This window comes from Homo sapiens, chromosome 5, assembly GCF_000001405.40.
Source record: "Homo sapiens chromosome 5, GRCh38.p14 Primary Assembly".
Taxonomy (NCBI): domain Eukaryota; kingdom Metazoa; phylum Chordata; class Mammalia; order Primates; family Hominidae; genus Homo; species Homo sapiens.
This window is the reverse complement of record NC_000005.10, coordinates 108,215,952-108,233,202: the sequence shown is the minus strand read 5'-3', so window position 1 is coordinate 108,233,202 and position 17,251 is coordinate 108,215,952. Positions and strand designations below refer to the sequence as shown.

The 17,251-nt window shown below is 37.3% G+C and overlaps 1 protein-coding gene across 8 annotated transcripts in view; it reads left to right on the top strand.

Annotated features, from left to right (window-relative positions):
- Positions 1–17,251, top strand: part of FBXL17 (F-box and leucine rich repeat protein 17) — a 523,064-nt gene that overhangs the window by 148,896 nt on the left and 356,917 nt on the right. For 7 of the 8 annotated variants that reach the window (NM_001163315.3, XM_005272048.5, XM_011543574.4 and 4 more), the window contains exon 5: positions 8,975–9,082. In NM_001163315.3, the coding sequence (NP_001156787.2) occupies positions 8,975–9,082 (108 nt within the window). Of the gene's footprint in view, positions 1–8,974; positions 9,083–9,821; positions 13,543–17,251 lie in introns of those variants that run through there. The other variant, XM_017009729.3, reaches the window with a different exon arrangement.

The following is a 17,251-nucleotide window of genomic DNA, read 5'->3' as shown; positions in this document are numbered from 1 at the left end:
AGGCACAGAGTGCAAAAAAAACAATTGTGAAACAAATATCTGATAAGGGTGTTTATTCAGAATATATAAAGAACTCCTGCAACTTAGTAAGACAAATGACCCAATTTTAAAAATTGGTGAAAAATTAAACATACATTTGTGTGACTCACCAGTTCTACTCCTAGATATTTACTCAAGAGAAATGAAAATATATGTCCATACAATACTTATGTTTGAATGATCACAGCAGCATTATTTGTCAAAGCCCCAAATTGGAAACAGTTCAAGTATTTATCAACTGGTGAATAGATACACAAGATGTAGTATATCCATACAGTGGAATTCTACTCATTAATAAAATGAATAAACTGTTGTGTTAGTCAGGGATCCCTAGAGGGACAGAACTAATAGTATATATTATATATATATATATATATATATGTGAGAGCTTATTCAGTATTAACTTACACAAACACAAGGTCCCACAATAGGCTGTCTGCAAGCTGAGGAGCAAGGAGAGCCAGTCCGAGTCTCAAAACTGAAGAACTTGGAGTCCAATGTTTGAGGGTAGGTAGCATCCAGCACGGGAGAAAGATGTATGCTGGGACGCTAGGCCTGTCTTGCCTCTTCACATTTTTCTGCCTGCTTTATATTCACTGGCCGCTGATTAGATGGTGCCCACCAGAGTAAGGGTGGGTCTGCCTTCCCCAGCCCACTGACTCAAATGTTAATCTCCTTTGGCAACACCCTCACAGACACACCCAGGACCAATACTTTGTATCCATCAATTCAATCAAGTTGACAGTATTAATCATCACAAGTCCACCCCTTGCCAACTTGAACCCATACACATCTCCTGAGATCATACATAATATTCAAATAAAGACAATAATAAGGTCATAATTACACCTAACTTAATGCAACTATCCTTTGTACAACTGGAAACACACCAATCCCCAACCCAAATACCATTACATAAAGTTAACAATACTTAAATGCTTATGTAAAGTCAATAAATCTTATGTCACATGATGAAGGAAAAGGAAATAAAATTAAGCTATTTTCTTAGCACAAGTGTATACATTCACAAACATGTTTTTAACAAAAGAAGGAGGAAATACTCATAACAGTTACAGTCCTTGTTTCTGTCGCTGGTCACGTGGTCACAGCTGGTACTGATGACTACCTTCTGCTACCCATTCTGTATTCCTTTGCCTTCAGCAAGCACCTCAGCAGGTCATAGTTTTTTTCCTGGTACAGTGACCCAAACCTTCATCCCTGTGGAGTCTGGACCGTTTGTAGTCCTACCTGGATTGGGCTGTTGTAGTTTCCCATCGACCTTAATCACAGGGCATGGTAATACTAAAAGAAGCCCTAATGGATCTCCTGTACTCCATGCATTCCTGTATCCTGTATGGATCTCCTGTGTTCCTATCTCTTTTATGGAGTAGTAGACTGAGTTCATCTTGATAGTCCTGTCAGTCACCCCAGCCAACACTGTAACCCCCTTCTTAGCCTGTTGACTTAAAGGTAGGAGGAGCTCAAGATGAACAGGTGGCAATTTTAACTTCCTGTTTAATGGAATCATTGTTGTGTCTCTTGGTGGCAGTGTTTCCTCTGGAACTAAGACCTCTAGGCCAGCAGAATGTACTGTTGCGGGAACAGGAAGCACACATTTTGCTAGTGGATCACTACGGGTAATGGTGAGTGGTGCCACTTCCACAACTCCTGATACATGGACTAACATGGATAAACCTCAAAACCTTACATTAGTGAAAGAAGCTAGAGACAAAAGACTACTTATGACACAATTCTATTTATGTGAAGTTTCTAGAAAAGGTAAAAGTATAGAGATAGGGAGCAGATCAGTAGTTGCCTGTGGGTGAGAGCTGTGATTAACTGTATATGAGCATAGAATATAGAGGGAATTTTTTGGGTGGTGTGATGAAAGTGTTCAAAACTGGATTGTGGTGATGATTATATAACTGTATAAACTTATTAAAACTTGACGAATTATACTCAAAATGGATGGATTTTATGGCATATAAGTTGTACCTCAATAAAGCTGTTTAAAAATTATGCGTAGTGCTTGGATTATGGCATAGCCATTTAGTTTTTGCTTCATCTCACCCCAAGAAGATGACATAGTTCTTTATCACTTGAGCAGTATTTCTCAAACTTTAAGGTGTATAAGAATCACCCTAGGATTTTTCTAAAATGCTGATTAAGATTTAATAGGTCTGTGCCAGGGCCTACTATTTTGCTTTTTTTTAAAAAAAATTTCCATAACTTATTGGAGTACAGGTGATATTTGGTTACATTTGTAAGTTCGTTAATAGTGATTTGTGAGATTTTGGTGCACCCATCACCCGGGCAGTATACACTGCACCCTATTTGTAGTCTTTTATCCCTCGCGCCCCCCAACCCTTCCCCCAAAGTCCCCAAAGTCCATTCTATCATTCTTATGCCTTTAGATTTTGCTTTTTTTTTTTTTTAAATTTATTTCCATAGGTTTCTGGGGAACAGGTGGTATTTAGTTATATGAGTGAGTTCTTCAGTGACGATTTGTGAGATCGTGGTGCACCCATCACCCGAGCAGTATACACTGAACCCAATATGTAGTCTTTTATCCCTTACCCCCCTCCTACCCTTTCCTCTGAGTCTCCAAAGTCCATTGTATCGTTCTTATGCCTTTGCATCCTCATAGCTTAGCTCCCACTTATGAGTGAGAACATATGATGTTTGTTTTTCCATTCCTGAGTTACTTCACTTAGAATTATAGTCTCCAGTCCCATCCAGGTTGCTGTGAATGCCATTAATTCATTGCCTTTTATGGCTGAGAAATATTCTGTTGTGTATATATACCACAATGTCTTTATCCCCTCATTGACTGATAGGCATTTGGGCTGGTTTCATATTTTTGCAGTTGTGAATTGTGTTTCCATAAACATGCGTGTGCAAGTATCTTTTTCATATAATGACTTCTTTTCCTCTGGGTAGATACCCAGTAGTAGGATTGCTGGATCAAATGGTAATTCTGCTTTTATTTCTTTAAGGAATCTCCACACTGTTTTCCATAGTGGTTTTACTAGTTTTACATTCCTACCAGCAGTGTAGAAGTGTTCCCTTTTAACCACATCTACGCCAACATCTATTACTTTTTGATTTTTTTATTATGGTCATTTTTGCAGGACTAAGGTGGTATCACGTTGTGGTTTTGATTTACATTTCCCTGATCATTAGTGATGTTGAGCATTTTTTTCATGTATTCGTTGGCCATTTGAATATCTTCTTTTGAGAATTGTCTATTCATGACCTTAGCCCACTTTTTGATGGGATTGTTTGTTTTATTCTTGTTGATTTGTTTGAGTTGCTTCTAGATTCTGGGTATTAGCCCTTTGTCAGATGCATAGATTTTGAAGATTTTCTCCCACTGTTTGGGTTGTCTGTTTATTCTGCTGACTCTTCCTTTTGTTGTGCAGAAGCTCTTTAGTTTAATTAAGCCCCACCTATTTATCTTTGTTTTTGTTGCATTTGCTTTTGGGTTCTTGGTCATGAGGTCTTTGCCTAAGCCAGTGTCTACAAGGGTTTTTCCGATGTTATCTTCTAGAATTTTTATAGTTTCAGGTCTTAGATTTAAGTCCTTGATCCATCTTGATTCGATTTTTGTATAAGGTGAGAGATGAGGATCCAGTTTCATTCTCCTACAAGTGGCTTGCCAATTATCCCAGCACCATTTGTTGAACAGGGTGTCCTTTTCTCACTTTATGTTTTTGTTGGCTTTGTCTAAGATCAGTTGGCTGTAAGTATTTGAGTTTATTTCTGGGTTCTCTATTCTGTTCCATTGGCCTATATGCGTATTTTTATACCAGTACCATGCTGTTTTGGTGACTGTGGCCTTACAGTATAGTTTGAACTTGTAATGTGATGCCCCCAGATTTGTTTTTTGTTTTTGTTTTTTGCTTAGTCTTGCTTTGGCTATGCGTGCTCTTTTTTTGGTTGCATATGAATTTTAGGATTGTTTTTTCTAGTTTTGTGAAGAATGATGGTGGTATTTTAATGGGAATTAAATGGAAGCACATCCCATGCTCATAGATGAGTAGAATTAATTTTGTGAAAATGACCATACTGCTAAAAGCAATCTACAGATTTTGCATTTTTAACAAGCTCCAAAGTGACGTCAGTGCTGCTGGAATGAGAACTACACTTTGAATGGAAGGCATTAGAATTTGTTCATTAGAATCTCCTGCGGAGCTTTTAAAATAAAATTGCTGCAGAGCTGTACCCAACAAATTAAATTAGAAATCTTCTTTGGTGATTCTTGTGTGCAACTCGGTTAAGAGCCTTAACAAAATGGCATTCTTTCTACCATAGGGAGTCAGTAACAAACTTTCACCTATGTCTCCCTTACAGCCATCCCATAGTTTAGATTATAACTGAAAACCCCCAAATTATGATCAGGATCTCTTGTGATAACCAGGAGAAGAAACTATAATGCTTTAAATACACTCTTTTTGAATATTCTCTTATGCATTTCAACCCTTTAGTCCTGGCTAAGAATCGGAATACAGAAGAAAGGGGAACCTGGAGTGATTATCATAATAGCTAAAATCTATTGAACAATTACAATGTGCCATGCATTGTTCAAAATATTTTACATGCATTATCTTATTTTACCCTCACATTTTACCCTGTGGGGTAGGTACTGTAATTTTCTCCATATTATAGAATGAACAAAGTGTATAGAGAGGAGAAATGACTTGTTGAAAATCACACAGCTAGTAAGTGGTCCAGTTGGGATTTGAAGCTAGACAGTGAGACTCCAGGGTCCCAGAGAAGCTAGAAGTGAGACTCCAGGGTCCCAGTAGCTGCATCCTGTAGTCTATAGTCTGTTTCTTCCAGACCTTCTGCCACAAATCCCTAACTGATCTTCTATCCTTGGGGAGTGGAGCTGGATGCCACCCAAATCTTCAAGGCCCTTTTATTAGTCTCCTAAAACATACCCAAGCCTGCTAAGAGTGTTTCTGTATCCCCATGACACAATCTTGTCTTGCTTTCCAGGGCTCTGTTGATGTTAGAGGCTCCTCTGAGCTATCTTATTCTGATTGCTTGAGCTGAAAGAGAAAGACCCAAGAAGCACATTTTCAAACCCCACTTTTTCTCTCTGAATGCTCTGGCCTCTTGGACCTGAGTTTTCTTGTGTCCTTAATCCTCATCTGAGTTCTTCTCCTCTCCTCGAAGATGGATATAGGAAAAACTTAATGTTAGACTGAAATTGAGCAGGGTGTTTAACCAACTGACCATGTACTTAACCTCTGTTACCCCTTTTTGTTTTTAATAGTGATTGAGTTTCATTGAAGCTTCCAGCAATTTTAGTGCCTTAAAAATTCTTTGTTAACATAATGCCTTTAGAATGCTAAGTGTCAGGAAAGCCTATTTTAAATTTATCAATGGCATCCTTAGTCTTAATATGCTTAAGCATACTTTACTTTTGAGGGGAGAATTAATCTTTTATCACATGTACCATAGATGCTGTTGGTTTCATTATTTTAGGAAAATGTTCTTATGATTGTTTTAGCATTAATGCTACTCACATACTTCTTTCTTCCAATATCTGTTCAGCATAGGTAAGGAAGATACAAAAAGAGTCACCCATGCTAAAGCTAATGCCAAAGAGATGTAAGTTGCTATTGTTTGAAAAACTAACAAAGATGTTAAATTTGTCGATCTCATCTTGACTGTGAAGAAAGTGAATCTGAAATTAAGCATATGATAGAGAATATTTGGACTTTCTTTTATAAGCTACATCTTTGGGAAACATGAAGAAAATTTAAGCACAATTACAAGAAGATAATTTTGTAAATGGAAATTTTTTTGGAGGTGCGGGAGACGAAAAAGGAATTTTATTCTGCCATTCATTTAAAGCAGGGCTGCTTAGAAATACAAAACACTGTCAGTGTAACTTCTTTGAAGCACTGGGGGCCTCAAGTTTTCACATGCTTAAGAGTCACTTGGGGGCTTGTTGAAAATACAGTTCCTTGGGCCCCACTCCTTTCAGCTCTGAGTTTTTAATATAATAAAACTTGGGATTGTAATACTCAAGGTATTAGTCATGGTTCTCCACAGAAACAGAACCATTAGGATATTGTCTGTACGTCTGTCTGTATATCTTTCTAGAGATTGTTGTAAGGAATTGGCTTACATGATTATGGAGACTGAGAAGTTCCAAGATCTCCATTTGTCAATCTAGAGTACCAGGAGAGCCATTGGTATAGTCTCAGTCCAAGTCTGAAGGCTTGAGAAGTACAAAAACTAATGGTGTAAATTCTAGTCCAAGTTTAAAGACCTGAGAACTGGGAGAGCCAATGGTGAAAGTTCCAGTGCAAGTCTGAATCAAAGGCAGGAGAAGACTGATCTCCTGCTTGGAAGATAGTCAGGCAGAGAGAGCACCAATTCTCCGTTACACTGACTTTTTATTCTATTCAGACCTTTGACAGACTAGATGAAGTTTCTCTCCATTGAAGAAGGCAATCTGCTTCACTCAGTCTACTGATTGAGCTGTTAATATCATTCAGAAACTCTCTCACAGGAATACCCAGAATAATGTTTAACCAAATATTTGGGCACCCCATGGCATAGTCAAGTTGATATAGAAAATTAACCATGGTACAGATCAAAGTTGAGTCACTGGTGTAAAAATGTGCCTCCTCCCAGTTCTTTAAAAAAAGACTTCTTAAGACACATGAACTGTATCAGAAAATAAAGCCACTAGTACAATGACATTTAAAAAATCATATATTAAAATGATACAAATATATCCTTTGTCTAAAAATAAAATAAAGTAGAAGTAAAAGGTATGATGGAGGACATGGAAAGAAGGAAAAAAATTCATTTATTTATTTCAATATTTTCTACTAAGTGCCAGGGATTATTCTAGGTGCCGATGGGGAACTAAGTGGTTTTCCGGGTCATAGGACTTTTCAGTGCTAAGACTGAAACTGTCCGAGGCAAATCAGAATGGTTGGTTATTCTAGGGGAGAGGGAGGGAAGAGTTATTTTGAGAGGGGAAGAGTGACAAACTAATATGTGAGTAAGTGTGTAATGTGATCAGTAGTGATAAGTGTTATGAAGAAAATCAAAGTGTGGTGAGACACAGAGAGGGACTAGGAGAGTTATTAAGGAGCCATGCAATTAGTTTTGATCACCTAAGGAATGAAGTAAGACGGAAAAGAGAAATGAGCTGAGGACTGAGATGAGGTAGACTCAACCAAGTGACCAAGAGCCAAAAGTAAGGAAGGAGGAAAGCCATGATAGTTGATACAAGAAGCAAATGAATTGTTTCCAGAAGAATCATCAGTTGTGTCAGATACTGCTGAAATGCTGGGATAATTGAGATTGACCATTTAATTGATAGGATAGTGACAATGAATGAGAGGGACAAAACCTTGATTACTATGAGATCAAGAGAGAGTGGAAAATGTGTGTATTAGCTTGCTAGGGCTGTTAGAACCAAGTACCACAAACTGAGTGGCTTAAACAATAGAAATTTATGGTGTCACAGTTCTAGAGCCTGGAAGTCCAAGATCAAAGTGTTGGCAGGGCCATGTTTCTTCTAAAGTGCTAGGAAAGGATCTGTTCCAGGCCTCTTGCCTAACTTCTGGCACTCTTTTTGGCAATCTGGTGTGCCTTGGCTTGTGCAGCATAACTCCAGTCTTCACATGGCATTCTCCCTGTGTGTGCATCTCTGCTCCGCCAGTTATATTGAATTGGGAGCCCACTTCACTCCAGTACAACTTCATCCTAAATTAACTATTTACTTCACTATTGGAAATAGCTGCCCCATTTCCAAATAAGATCACATTCTGAGGTAGTGAGGGTTAAGATTTCAAAATATGAATCTTAAGGAGACATAATTCAACCCATAAAAATGTAGTATATCCATACAATGGAATATTTTTCAGCCTTGAAAAGTAAGGAAATTCCAACACATATTACAACATGGATGAACCTTGATAACATTATGCTAAGTGAAAGAAGCCAGTCATAAATGGTCACAAACTGGTAGTTCTTTTTATATAAAGTGTTCAGAATAGGAAAATGTAGATTGCCAGGCTTGGAGGTAGTGGGAAATAGGGGAATGACCGTTAATGGGCATGGGGTCTTTGGGGGGTGGTGAACATGTTCTGGAATTAGATATCGGTAATGGTGCATAAACTTGCGAATATACTGAACTGTACTCTTTGAAAGGGTGAATTTTATGGTATGTGAATTAAATGTCAATAAAAAAATATATATTGGTTGGGTGTGATTGCTTACCCCTGTAATCCCAGCACTTTGGGAGGCCAAGGAGGCTGGATCACTTAAGGTCAGGAGTTTGAGACCAACCTGGCCAACATGGTGAAACCCCGTCTCCACTAAAAATACAAAACAAAACACAACAACAACAACAAAAAAAACCAAAAAAACTAGTTGGGTGTGGTGATGCATGCTTGTAGTCCCAGCTACTTGGGAGGCTGAGGCAGGAGAATCAGTTGAACCTGGGAGGCGGAGGTTGCAGTGAGTCGAGATTGTGCCACTGCACTCCATCCTGGGCAACACAGTGAGTCTCTGTCAAAACAAAACAAAACAAAAAACCCCAAAACAAACCAACCATATATGTGTGTGTTTGTGTGTGTGTGTGTGTGTGTGTGTGTGTATACATATACATATATATACACACACAGAGGGAGGGGAGAAGGTAAAGAATTGGAGGTAGCCAGTGTCAACATGTCTGAAGAAGTATAAAAACATGGGGTGATAAGAAGTGGATGTAGGGTCAAGAGATGACTTTTAAAAATACAGGAATATTATAGCATGTTTGTATGCTGATTCAAATGATCTAACAGGGCAGGAAATAGTAATGATGCAAGGTGGGGCTGAGAGGATTTTCAGGAGCCAAATCCTTGAGTTCACTGGACTATTACCTTGAATAATTTCATCCATGTCTTTTCCCTAGGTGACAGATCAGTCAGTGAAAGCATTTGCTGAACACTGTCCTGAGCTTCAATATGTAGGCTTCATGGGTTGTTCAGTCACTTCTAAAGGAGTCATTCACCTAACCAAGGTAGGTACTATGGCTGCTTTTCCTTGGTATTTTTGAGTATCATACAGGTGATGAGCCCTAAATTGTTTAATTTACTTGAATAAGGGACAGTCAGACCATTATAGAAGCCTACTAATGTTTGATAAAAGTTAAAATGAGTTGAAGAAAGCAATACCAAACTTATCCTTTCTGAAATGGAATACTCATTTAAACAAGAAGCTTTTTGCTTTTTCATTGCTAATGGCTATGAAATATATATCAAAGAAATATATATGAAAAGAATCATTTAAATGTTAATATATTGTGCTTAGAAGATATTTGGTTGAATTTTAAGTGCTCATATATCACTAGATCTTATGAGTATTTGGCTTTAAAAAGTGAATATGGTCAGTGCATATTATCAAGCTGAATATGTAAGGTGAAAAGAGAGGTGAATATATGACAAAAATTTACATTGTGGCTCAGAGAGTTCAATAATATAACAATTATATGAAATTTCATATTTTTAGAAATGATCAAACTGCCAGTTCTTTAGTAATCTCTCACTGATGTGTCATCTCTACTGCGATGTGTCATCTCTACTGCTTTCCAGAGCTTTAAAATAATTAAAAGCCAATTCTTACATTTGTGTAATGGAAAAGCTGGCTACTATAAAATTTACCTATGTGTTATCTGAAATTTGTTACTGTATAAATTTCAGTTCTATCCTATAGTACTTAGGAAAATGAATGTGATTCTTGCCTTTTCCGACTTATTATAGCTGAGCAACCTTTTCCTTCAACCTTCCTTCATTTCACAACTATTAGAAAGTTGCTGTATTGGCAACACAATGATGAAAAAAACCAGGTAAGATCCCAGGTCTCTTTCAGTTTGATGTCTTCAGATCTCTTTGAGCTTACAGTTTAATGGGAAATAATGTCTTTCTTTACTCCCTAGGAGAAGAGCAAATGTTTATGAGTTACCTAGGACTATGGTAGGATCATACAGTGAATAGGACCCTGGGCGCCATTATAACCTCAGATTGGATTATTGGGTCTATCACTTAGCTAAGTGGGAAAATTATTTTTTAGGGTATTAAATAAGGTAATATATATAAGGTACTTGATTCAGAATAGAGACCACAGTAAATGCTAAGTAAATTTTAGCTATTAATATTAAAACAGATGCGGGCCAGGCACAATGGATCACTCCTGTAATCCCAGCACTTTGGGAGGCCGAGGCAGGTGAATCACTTGAGGCCAGGAGTCTGAAATCAGCCTGGCCAACGTGGTGAAACTCCATCTCTACTAAAAGACAAAAATTAGCTGGGCATGGTGGTGTGGTGGCTGTAATCCCAGCTACTTGGGAGGCTGAGATGGGAGAATTGCTTAAACCCGAGAGGCGGAGGTTGCAGTGAGCCGAGATTGCGCCACTGCACTCCAGCCCGGGCGACAGATGAGACTCTGTCTCAAAAAAAAAAAAAAAAAAAAGATGCCATAGTATCTAAATTGCTAGAAAATTAGTACGAAGTTTGATTTTAAGAAATCAAATCACTATTCTAGTATAGTGTATCTGAAAGAGAGCCTGTGGTTGTAGTATGTCTTAAAGGACTGATTAGCTTTAATTTTATTGTGAGGATCAGAGCCTAAAGCTAGAGGAGAGGATAGGCCTGTTATTCTCAATTATTGCTGTATCAGAACATCTTAGTGTAACCAAGACCATATGTAACCATAATTTTTAATTCATTTCCTATAACCTTGGCCTGAACATCTTGGTAGATGAATGTTTTTCTAGTCACACCTAATGCTGTTTATGTTGTAGAGTAAAAATGCCTTTGGTTGAACAGATTGTGCACAACAAGTGTTGTGATGGCCATATGTGGGCTTTTTATGATTACTTGAAATTGTACTCATTAAAGACAAAACAAGACTTATTAGATCAGTAAGTGCTTCCCTCAGCATTTTGAGATGGCCAAAAATTATGGTACACTGGTACTTAAAAGATCACAATTATTCTCTGTGATAAAACACAGCTACAGCAAATGTCTGCATTGGAAAGCTCAATTTGCTGAAATGGTTCTTCTGAAGATTTTAGGCAAGGATTGCTGGTTTGGTCTATCAACAATCAGAATCTATTGGACTTGTATTACAGTTAGTCCTCAAAGTTCTGAGGAACATCTTTGTTCTTCAACAGAGCCTTTTCTTTGATGAGAAAACTGGTGTGTACAACTAAGCAATGAATGTTGCTTAGTTTTCTGGATTCAAGTAAAGGCAAAAGAGGACATTTTATACATGCATCGGTTCTGCAAAGCTATTTTAGCTATTTTAATTGGTTTATCTCTTGAAAACCAAGGGTAGACTCAGTTTTTAATAAAATTAATGCTTTTTATTTTATGATATTTGCATTCTGGCAATGTTTTCATACTGGTTACTAAGACATTCACAAAAATGTTTGTAATCATATAAACACCCCTTAAAAAGTTGTGTTTTCCTTATCATCATAGTACATAATAAATAATCAAGAGGATGTGAGATATAGAGTGTTAAGAGTTATCAGCCTAAATATGTTTTTACATGCTTTAGAAAATCTCTTTAATACATGATGTCACTAAATCCCTGGCTTTCTAAGTTTGCTAAGAGAGAGGCAAAGAGCATAAAATTTCTGTACCTTAGTTTCCTGTCTTTGAAATTATGTGCCTGTATTAGATGATCTGTCTTCAGATCTGCAATTTCTTGCACCCTGAAGAATCTATGAATTTAGGAATTATTGGCCTAGAAGGGACTGTTAGGGGCTCTCATGGAAACTAAGAAATATCAAGTCTAATTTAGTAGGTTAGAAGGGAAAATTGGGGATTTGTGACATCTTGATTTTTAAATCAAGGGCAAGAAAACAGAGGATTGGGAATAGATGGAAGGACATTGATATCCTCTTGTGGTCCCTTTGATTTAATTTTATTTTGATTTTCTCAGGCTTGACTGGATTCCCGTTTACTTTGTAATATTTACTGATGACATGCCATTATTACTTAGATTCTGCTAATCTCAAGCAATATTGGGATAAGAAGCCTTTCTAAGCTGCTATGACTGTGTTAATGAGAGTCCAGAATAACCAGACTGAATGCACACAGGTTGATAAGATAAAGTCATATTTATGGGACTGTTTGGAAACTTAGAGGTCTATATTTAGGAAGCAAAGATAAGAATTTTTGAGGTCTACATTTACAGTTAAGAGTATTAGTGACTTGTATGTGGGAGAATTGGGTCTACTCTAACACAAGTGTGTTCTTTTCATTGTAGTGTACCTGTTATATAAATATAAAATCTGTATATCTTGCTCTCTCTCCCACTTTTAAAAACAAGTTCAGCAAATGCAAATATATAGTTACCTTCAGTGTTTAGACTGTGGGACCTGCATGTCATTTGCCACTAAAGAGACTAGAAGGAACATGTCGAAGGACCCAAAAGCCAACGTGAAATGGCTCCTACTGACTTAGGCTGGGATATTTTGAGCATTGAAAAGGAAGATTCTGCAATGAATTAAAAGAAATAAAATATATAAAAATGGGTTTATAATGATATAAGCAAAACGAAACTGGACTTCTTCCAGCTTAGGTGGCGTAACAGGGGCCAAATTTACTCTTTCCTGAAACAACTTTAAAAAAACAGACAAAATATAGGAAACAATGGTTTTTAAGACACTGGGTATCAGGCAACCAAGGACAATGATCCCTATGATACGGGAAACAGGCAGGAGGAGCTCTGGGATTGTCTCAGTTTAGTGCATTGAAAGAGTTTCCAGACTGCAGCACAGGTTGGGGGGTAACTCAGGTAACACACAGCAGACTGTCTGAGTTGACAAAACAGAACAGAAAGGCCAGGGAGACCAAAACAGCCAGATTTCAGAGGACTGAATACTGGAGTGGAGAGAACTGCATAGAAGAATCCCAGGGATTTGTGGATGACCCTCCTTATGCATTCAATCCTAAATAACCCATGAGTAAAGACAAAATCAAAAGAGAAATTAGAAAGTATTTTGAAATGAATGAAAATGAAAACACAATGTATCAGATTTAGTGTGATGCTACTAAAGTACTACTTAGATAAAAATAATGAAACAAATACCAATATGAGAAAAAAGAAAGATTTCAAATCATGACTTCAACTTCCATTTTATGAAATTTGAGAAAGGAGCAAACTAAATCCAAAGTAAGCAAAAAAAAAAAAAAAAAAAAAAAGGAAATAGTAAAGATCAAAGAGGAAATCAATGAAATGGAAAGCAAAAAGAAGAGAGGAAATTAATGAAACCAAAAGCTAGTGATTTGATAAGATAGATAAAATTGATAAATCTCTAGTCACACTGATCAAAAAAAACTTGCCAATGTTATAGCTCAGAGGGTTGACAAAACTACAGATACTACAGGCATTAAAAGGATAACAAGGTTATTATTATGAACATCTTTTTTTTTAATTTTAATTTTTGAGATAGAGTTTCAATCTTGTTGCCCAGGCTGGAGTGTAATGGGATCTTGGCTCACTGCAACCTCCACCTCTCGGGTTCAAGCAATTCTCCTGCCTCAGCCTCCCAAATATCTGGGACTACAGGCGCCCACCACCACGCCCGGCTAATTTTTTGTATTTTTAATAGAGACGGGGTTTCACCATGTTAGCCAGGCTGGTTTTGAACTCCTGACCTCAGGTGATCCACCCATGTCAGCCTCTCAAAGTGCTGAGATTACAGGCGTGAGCAACCACATCCAGCCAGTGAACATCTTTAGGCCTATCAATTCAACAATTTAGATGAAATGGAAAATTTATTTGAAAAACACTGACTACCAAAGCTCACTTAAGAAGAAATAATAACTTGAATACCCCTGTATTTCTTAAAGAAATTGCTTCTGTAGTTAAAAATTTTCCAATACTCCCATCCCAGATGACTTCACTGTTGAATTTTGCCAAATATTTAAGAAAGAAATAATACCAATTCAACACAAGTCTTCTAGAAAAGAGACTATTATTACCCACATTTTAAAAACTTGATAAAGACACTCTAAGTGAAGAAAATTGAACATCACTATCTTTCATGAATATAGGTTCAAAAATTGTAAACAAAAGTTTGGAAAATCATGTCTAACAGTATTTTAAAAGGATAATTATGTCATGACCTAATTAGAGTTTATCCCAGAAAAGCAAAGTTGATTAGGCACTCAAAATAAATCAAAGCTAGGAAATCAATACACAAAAATCCATTGTATCTGTATAGCAGAGGAAACAACAGAGTGAAAAGACAACCTATGGAATGGAAGAAAGTATTTCCAAACCATATATCTGATAAGGAGCTACTATCCAAAATATATAAGGAACTCGACTCAATAGTAAGAAAACAAATAACCTGATTGAAAACTGGGCAAAGTACCCAAATAGACATTTTTCAAAAAGAGACATACATGTGGCCAGCAAGTATATGAAAAAAAATGCTCAGTGTCACTAATCATCAGAGAAATGCAAATTAAAACCACAATGAGATATCACCTTACACTTGTTAGAATGGCTGTTATTAAAAAGGGGAAAGATAACAAGTTTTGGTGAGGATGTAGGAAAAGGGGAGCTCTTGAAAATTCTTGGTAGAAATGTAAATTAGTATAGCCATTGTAGAACACAGTATGGAAGTGACTCAAAAAAATTAAAAATAAAACTGCCATATGAGCCAGCAATAGTACTGCTGGGTATGTATCCAAAGGATATAAAATCAGTATGTTGAAGAGATGTCTGCACTCTTACTTTCATTGCAGCACTATTCACAGTAGCCAAAGTTGATATGGAATGTCCATTAAAGGATAAATGGATAAAGAAAATGTTGGCCAGGCGCGGTGGCTCACACCTGTAATCTCAGCACTTTGGGAGGCCGAGGTGGGCGGATCACGAGGTCAGGAGTTTGAGACCATCCTGGCTAACATGGTGAAACCCCATCTCTACTAAAAAAATATAAAAAAATTAGATGGGCGTGGTAGCAGGCGCCTATAGTCCCAGCTACTCTGGAGGCTGAGGCAGGAGAATGGCGTGAACCCGGGAGGTGGAGCTTGCAGTGGCCACTGCACTCCAGCCTAGGCGACAGAGTGAGACTCTGTCTCAAAAAAAAAAAAAAAAAAAGAAAAAAAATTAGAAAATATGGTATATACACACAATGGAATACTATTCAGCCTTAAAAAGAAGGAAATTTCTGTCATTTGCAACAACATGGATGAACCTGGAGGGAGATTATGTTAAGTAAAATAAGCCAGGCACAGAAAGACAAATACTGCATGATCTTCTTACATGTGGAATCTAACAAAGTCAGACTCATAGAATCAGATTAGAATGGTGGTTACCAGATGCTGAAGGGAGGGAAAGGATTGAGGAGGTGCTGGTTGAAGAATACAAAATTTCAGTTAGGCAGCAAGAGTAAGTTCAAGAGATCTATAGTACATCATAGACTATAGACTATAGACTGTAGTACATATAGTACATAGTACATATAGTACATATTTACTATAGTAAGTAACTATATTGTATACTTGAAAATTGCTGAGAGAATAAATTTTAAGTGGTCGACCACAAATAATATAATATTGAAACAATGTTGAAATGGAAAGCAAAAAGAAGAGAGGAAATTAATGAAACCAAAAGCTAGCGATTTGATAAGATAGATGAAATTGATAAATCTCTAGTCACACTGATCAAAAAAAAAGTTGCCGGTGTTACAGCTCAGAGGGTTGAGAAAACTACAGATACTATAGGTATTAAAAGGATGACAAGGGTATATATTGTTTCAATATAATATCGAAACAAACTTTTGTTGTCTGAGATAATGCTGGGAGTTCTTGTCCTACCTCCAAGACTATTAAGGAGCATGGTCAAAGGTGAGGTTAGAGCGAAAGTTTAATAAGCAAAAGAAGAAAGCTCTCTGCCAGCAGAGAGGGGGTCTGGAATGGGAGTATCCACTGTGGGGCTGGGGTCCAGGGTTTTTATGGACTGGGAAGGGGAAGGAATGTGCTTAGTCTGTGGGCTGTCTTGGCGAATGTGTGACTCAGCTTGGCCTGGGAACAATCGGGCTGAGGTGATGATTCATAGAGGCCAGACTTACAGTCCAAATAAAGGAAAGTAGAGTGCCCACTGGAACCCACCGGAGCCCACTGTGCCCATGCCCACAAAAGGAGAAGAAACTTTTTCTGGGATCCCACTGACTATACAAAGGACAAAGGCATTTCTGTGCCTGGCCTTGTTCCCTTATCTGAGTTAGCTGGAGGTTTGTGCAAGTTTTTATCCAAATGGGCTGGAGGTTTTTCTATCTGTGCAGCCGTGGGCATGTCTCTAGGTATAACACCCCGTGCTAGTTCCCTTATTGGTACCTGCCGCTTGAATTTTTTCTCAGGCTGCTTTTTATGTTATGTGGGGATGAGGCACTGACCCACAGGCGGGGGCCTCTCTGGGACCCTTCCCTTGTTATCTACCTAAGGCAAGCTAACTAACTCCTTTCAGTATATGAGGTAAGGCATATATTAATTATCTTGATCTGGCCACTCCACAATGTATACTTATATCAAAACATCATGCTGTACACCATAAATATATACAAATTTTGTCAGTTAAAAAAATTAAAAAGACATTGAAAAGAAGCATTAAAAAGTTATAATTTTATATGCTGGCAATGAATAATCTGCAAATGAAATAAAGGAAAACCTTTCATTTACATTATTATCAAAAATAATAAAACATTTATAAATACATTTAACCAAGGATCACTGAAACCCACAAAACATTACCGAAAGGAATTAAAGAAGACCTACATAATGAAAAGGCATCCACTATTCATCTTAAAATACTTAATATTGTTAAGATGGCAGTATTACTCAAAGCACTTTATAGAGTCAATGGAATCTCTGTAAAAATCTCAGCAGCTTTTTTTAATGGAAAATCTGATATTGAAATTATTATTGAATTGCAGGACAACTGAAGAGCCGTAACTATCTCAAAAAAAGAAAAACAGTGTTGGAGGACTCATATGTCCCAATTTTAAAACTTACTACAGAGCTATAAGAACCAAAACAGTATAGTACTGATGTAAGGATAGACACGTAAGTCAATGGAAAAGGATCGAGCGTCCAGAAATAAACTCACACATCTATGTCCTATTAATATTTGAAAGGGTGCTAAAACCATTCAATGAGAAGAGTCT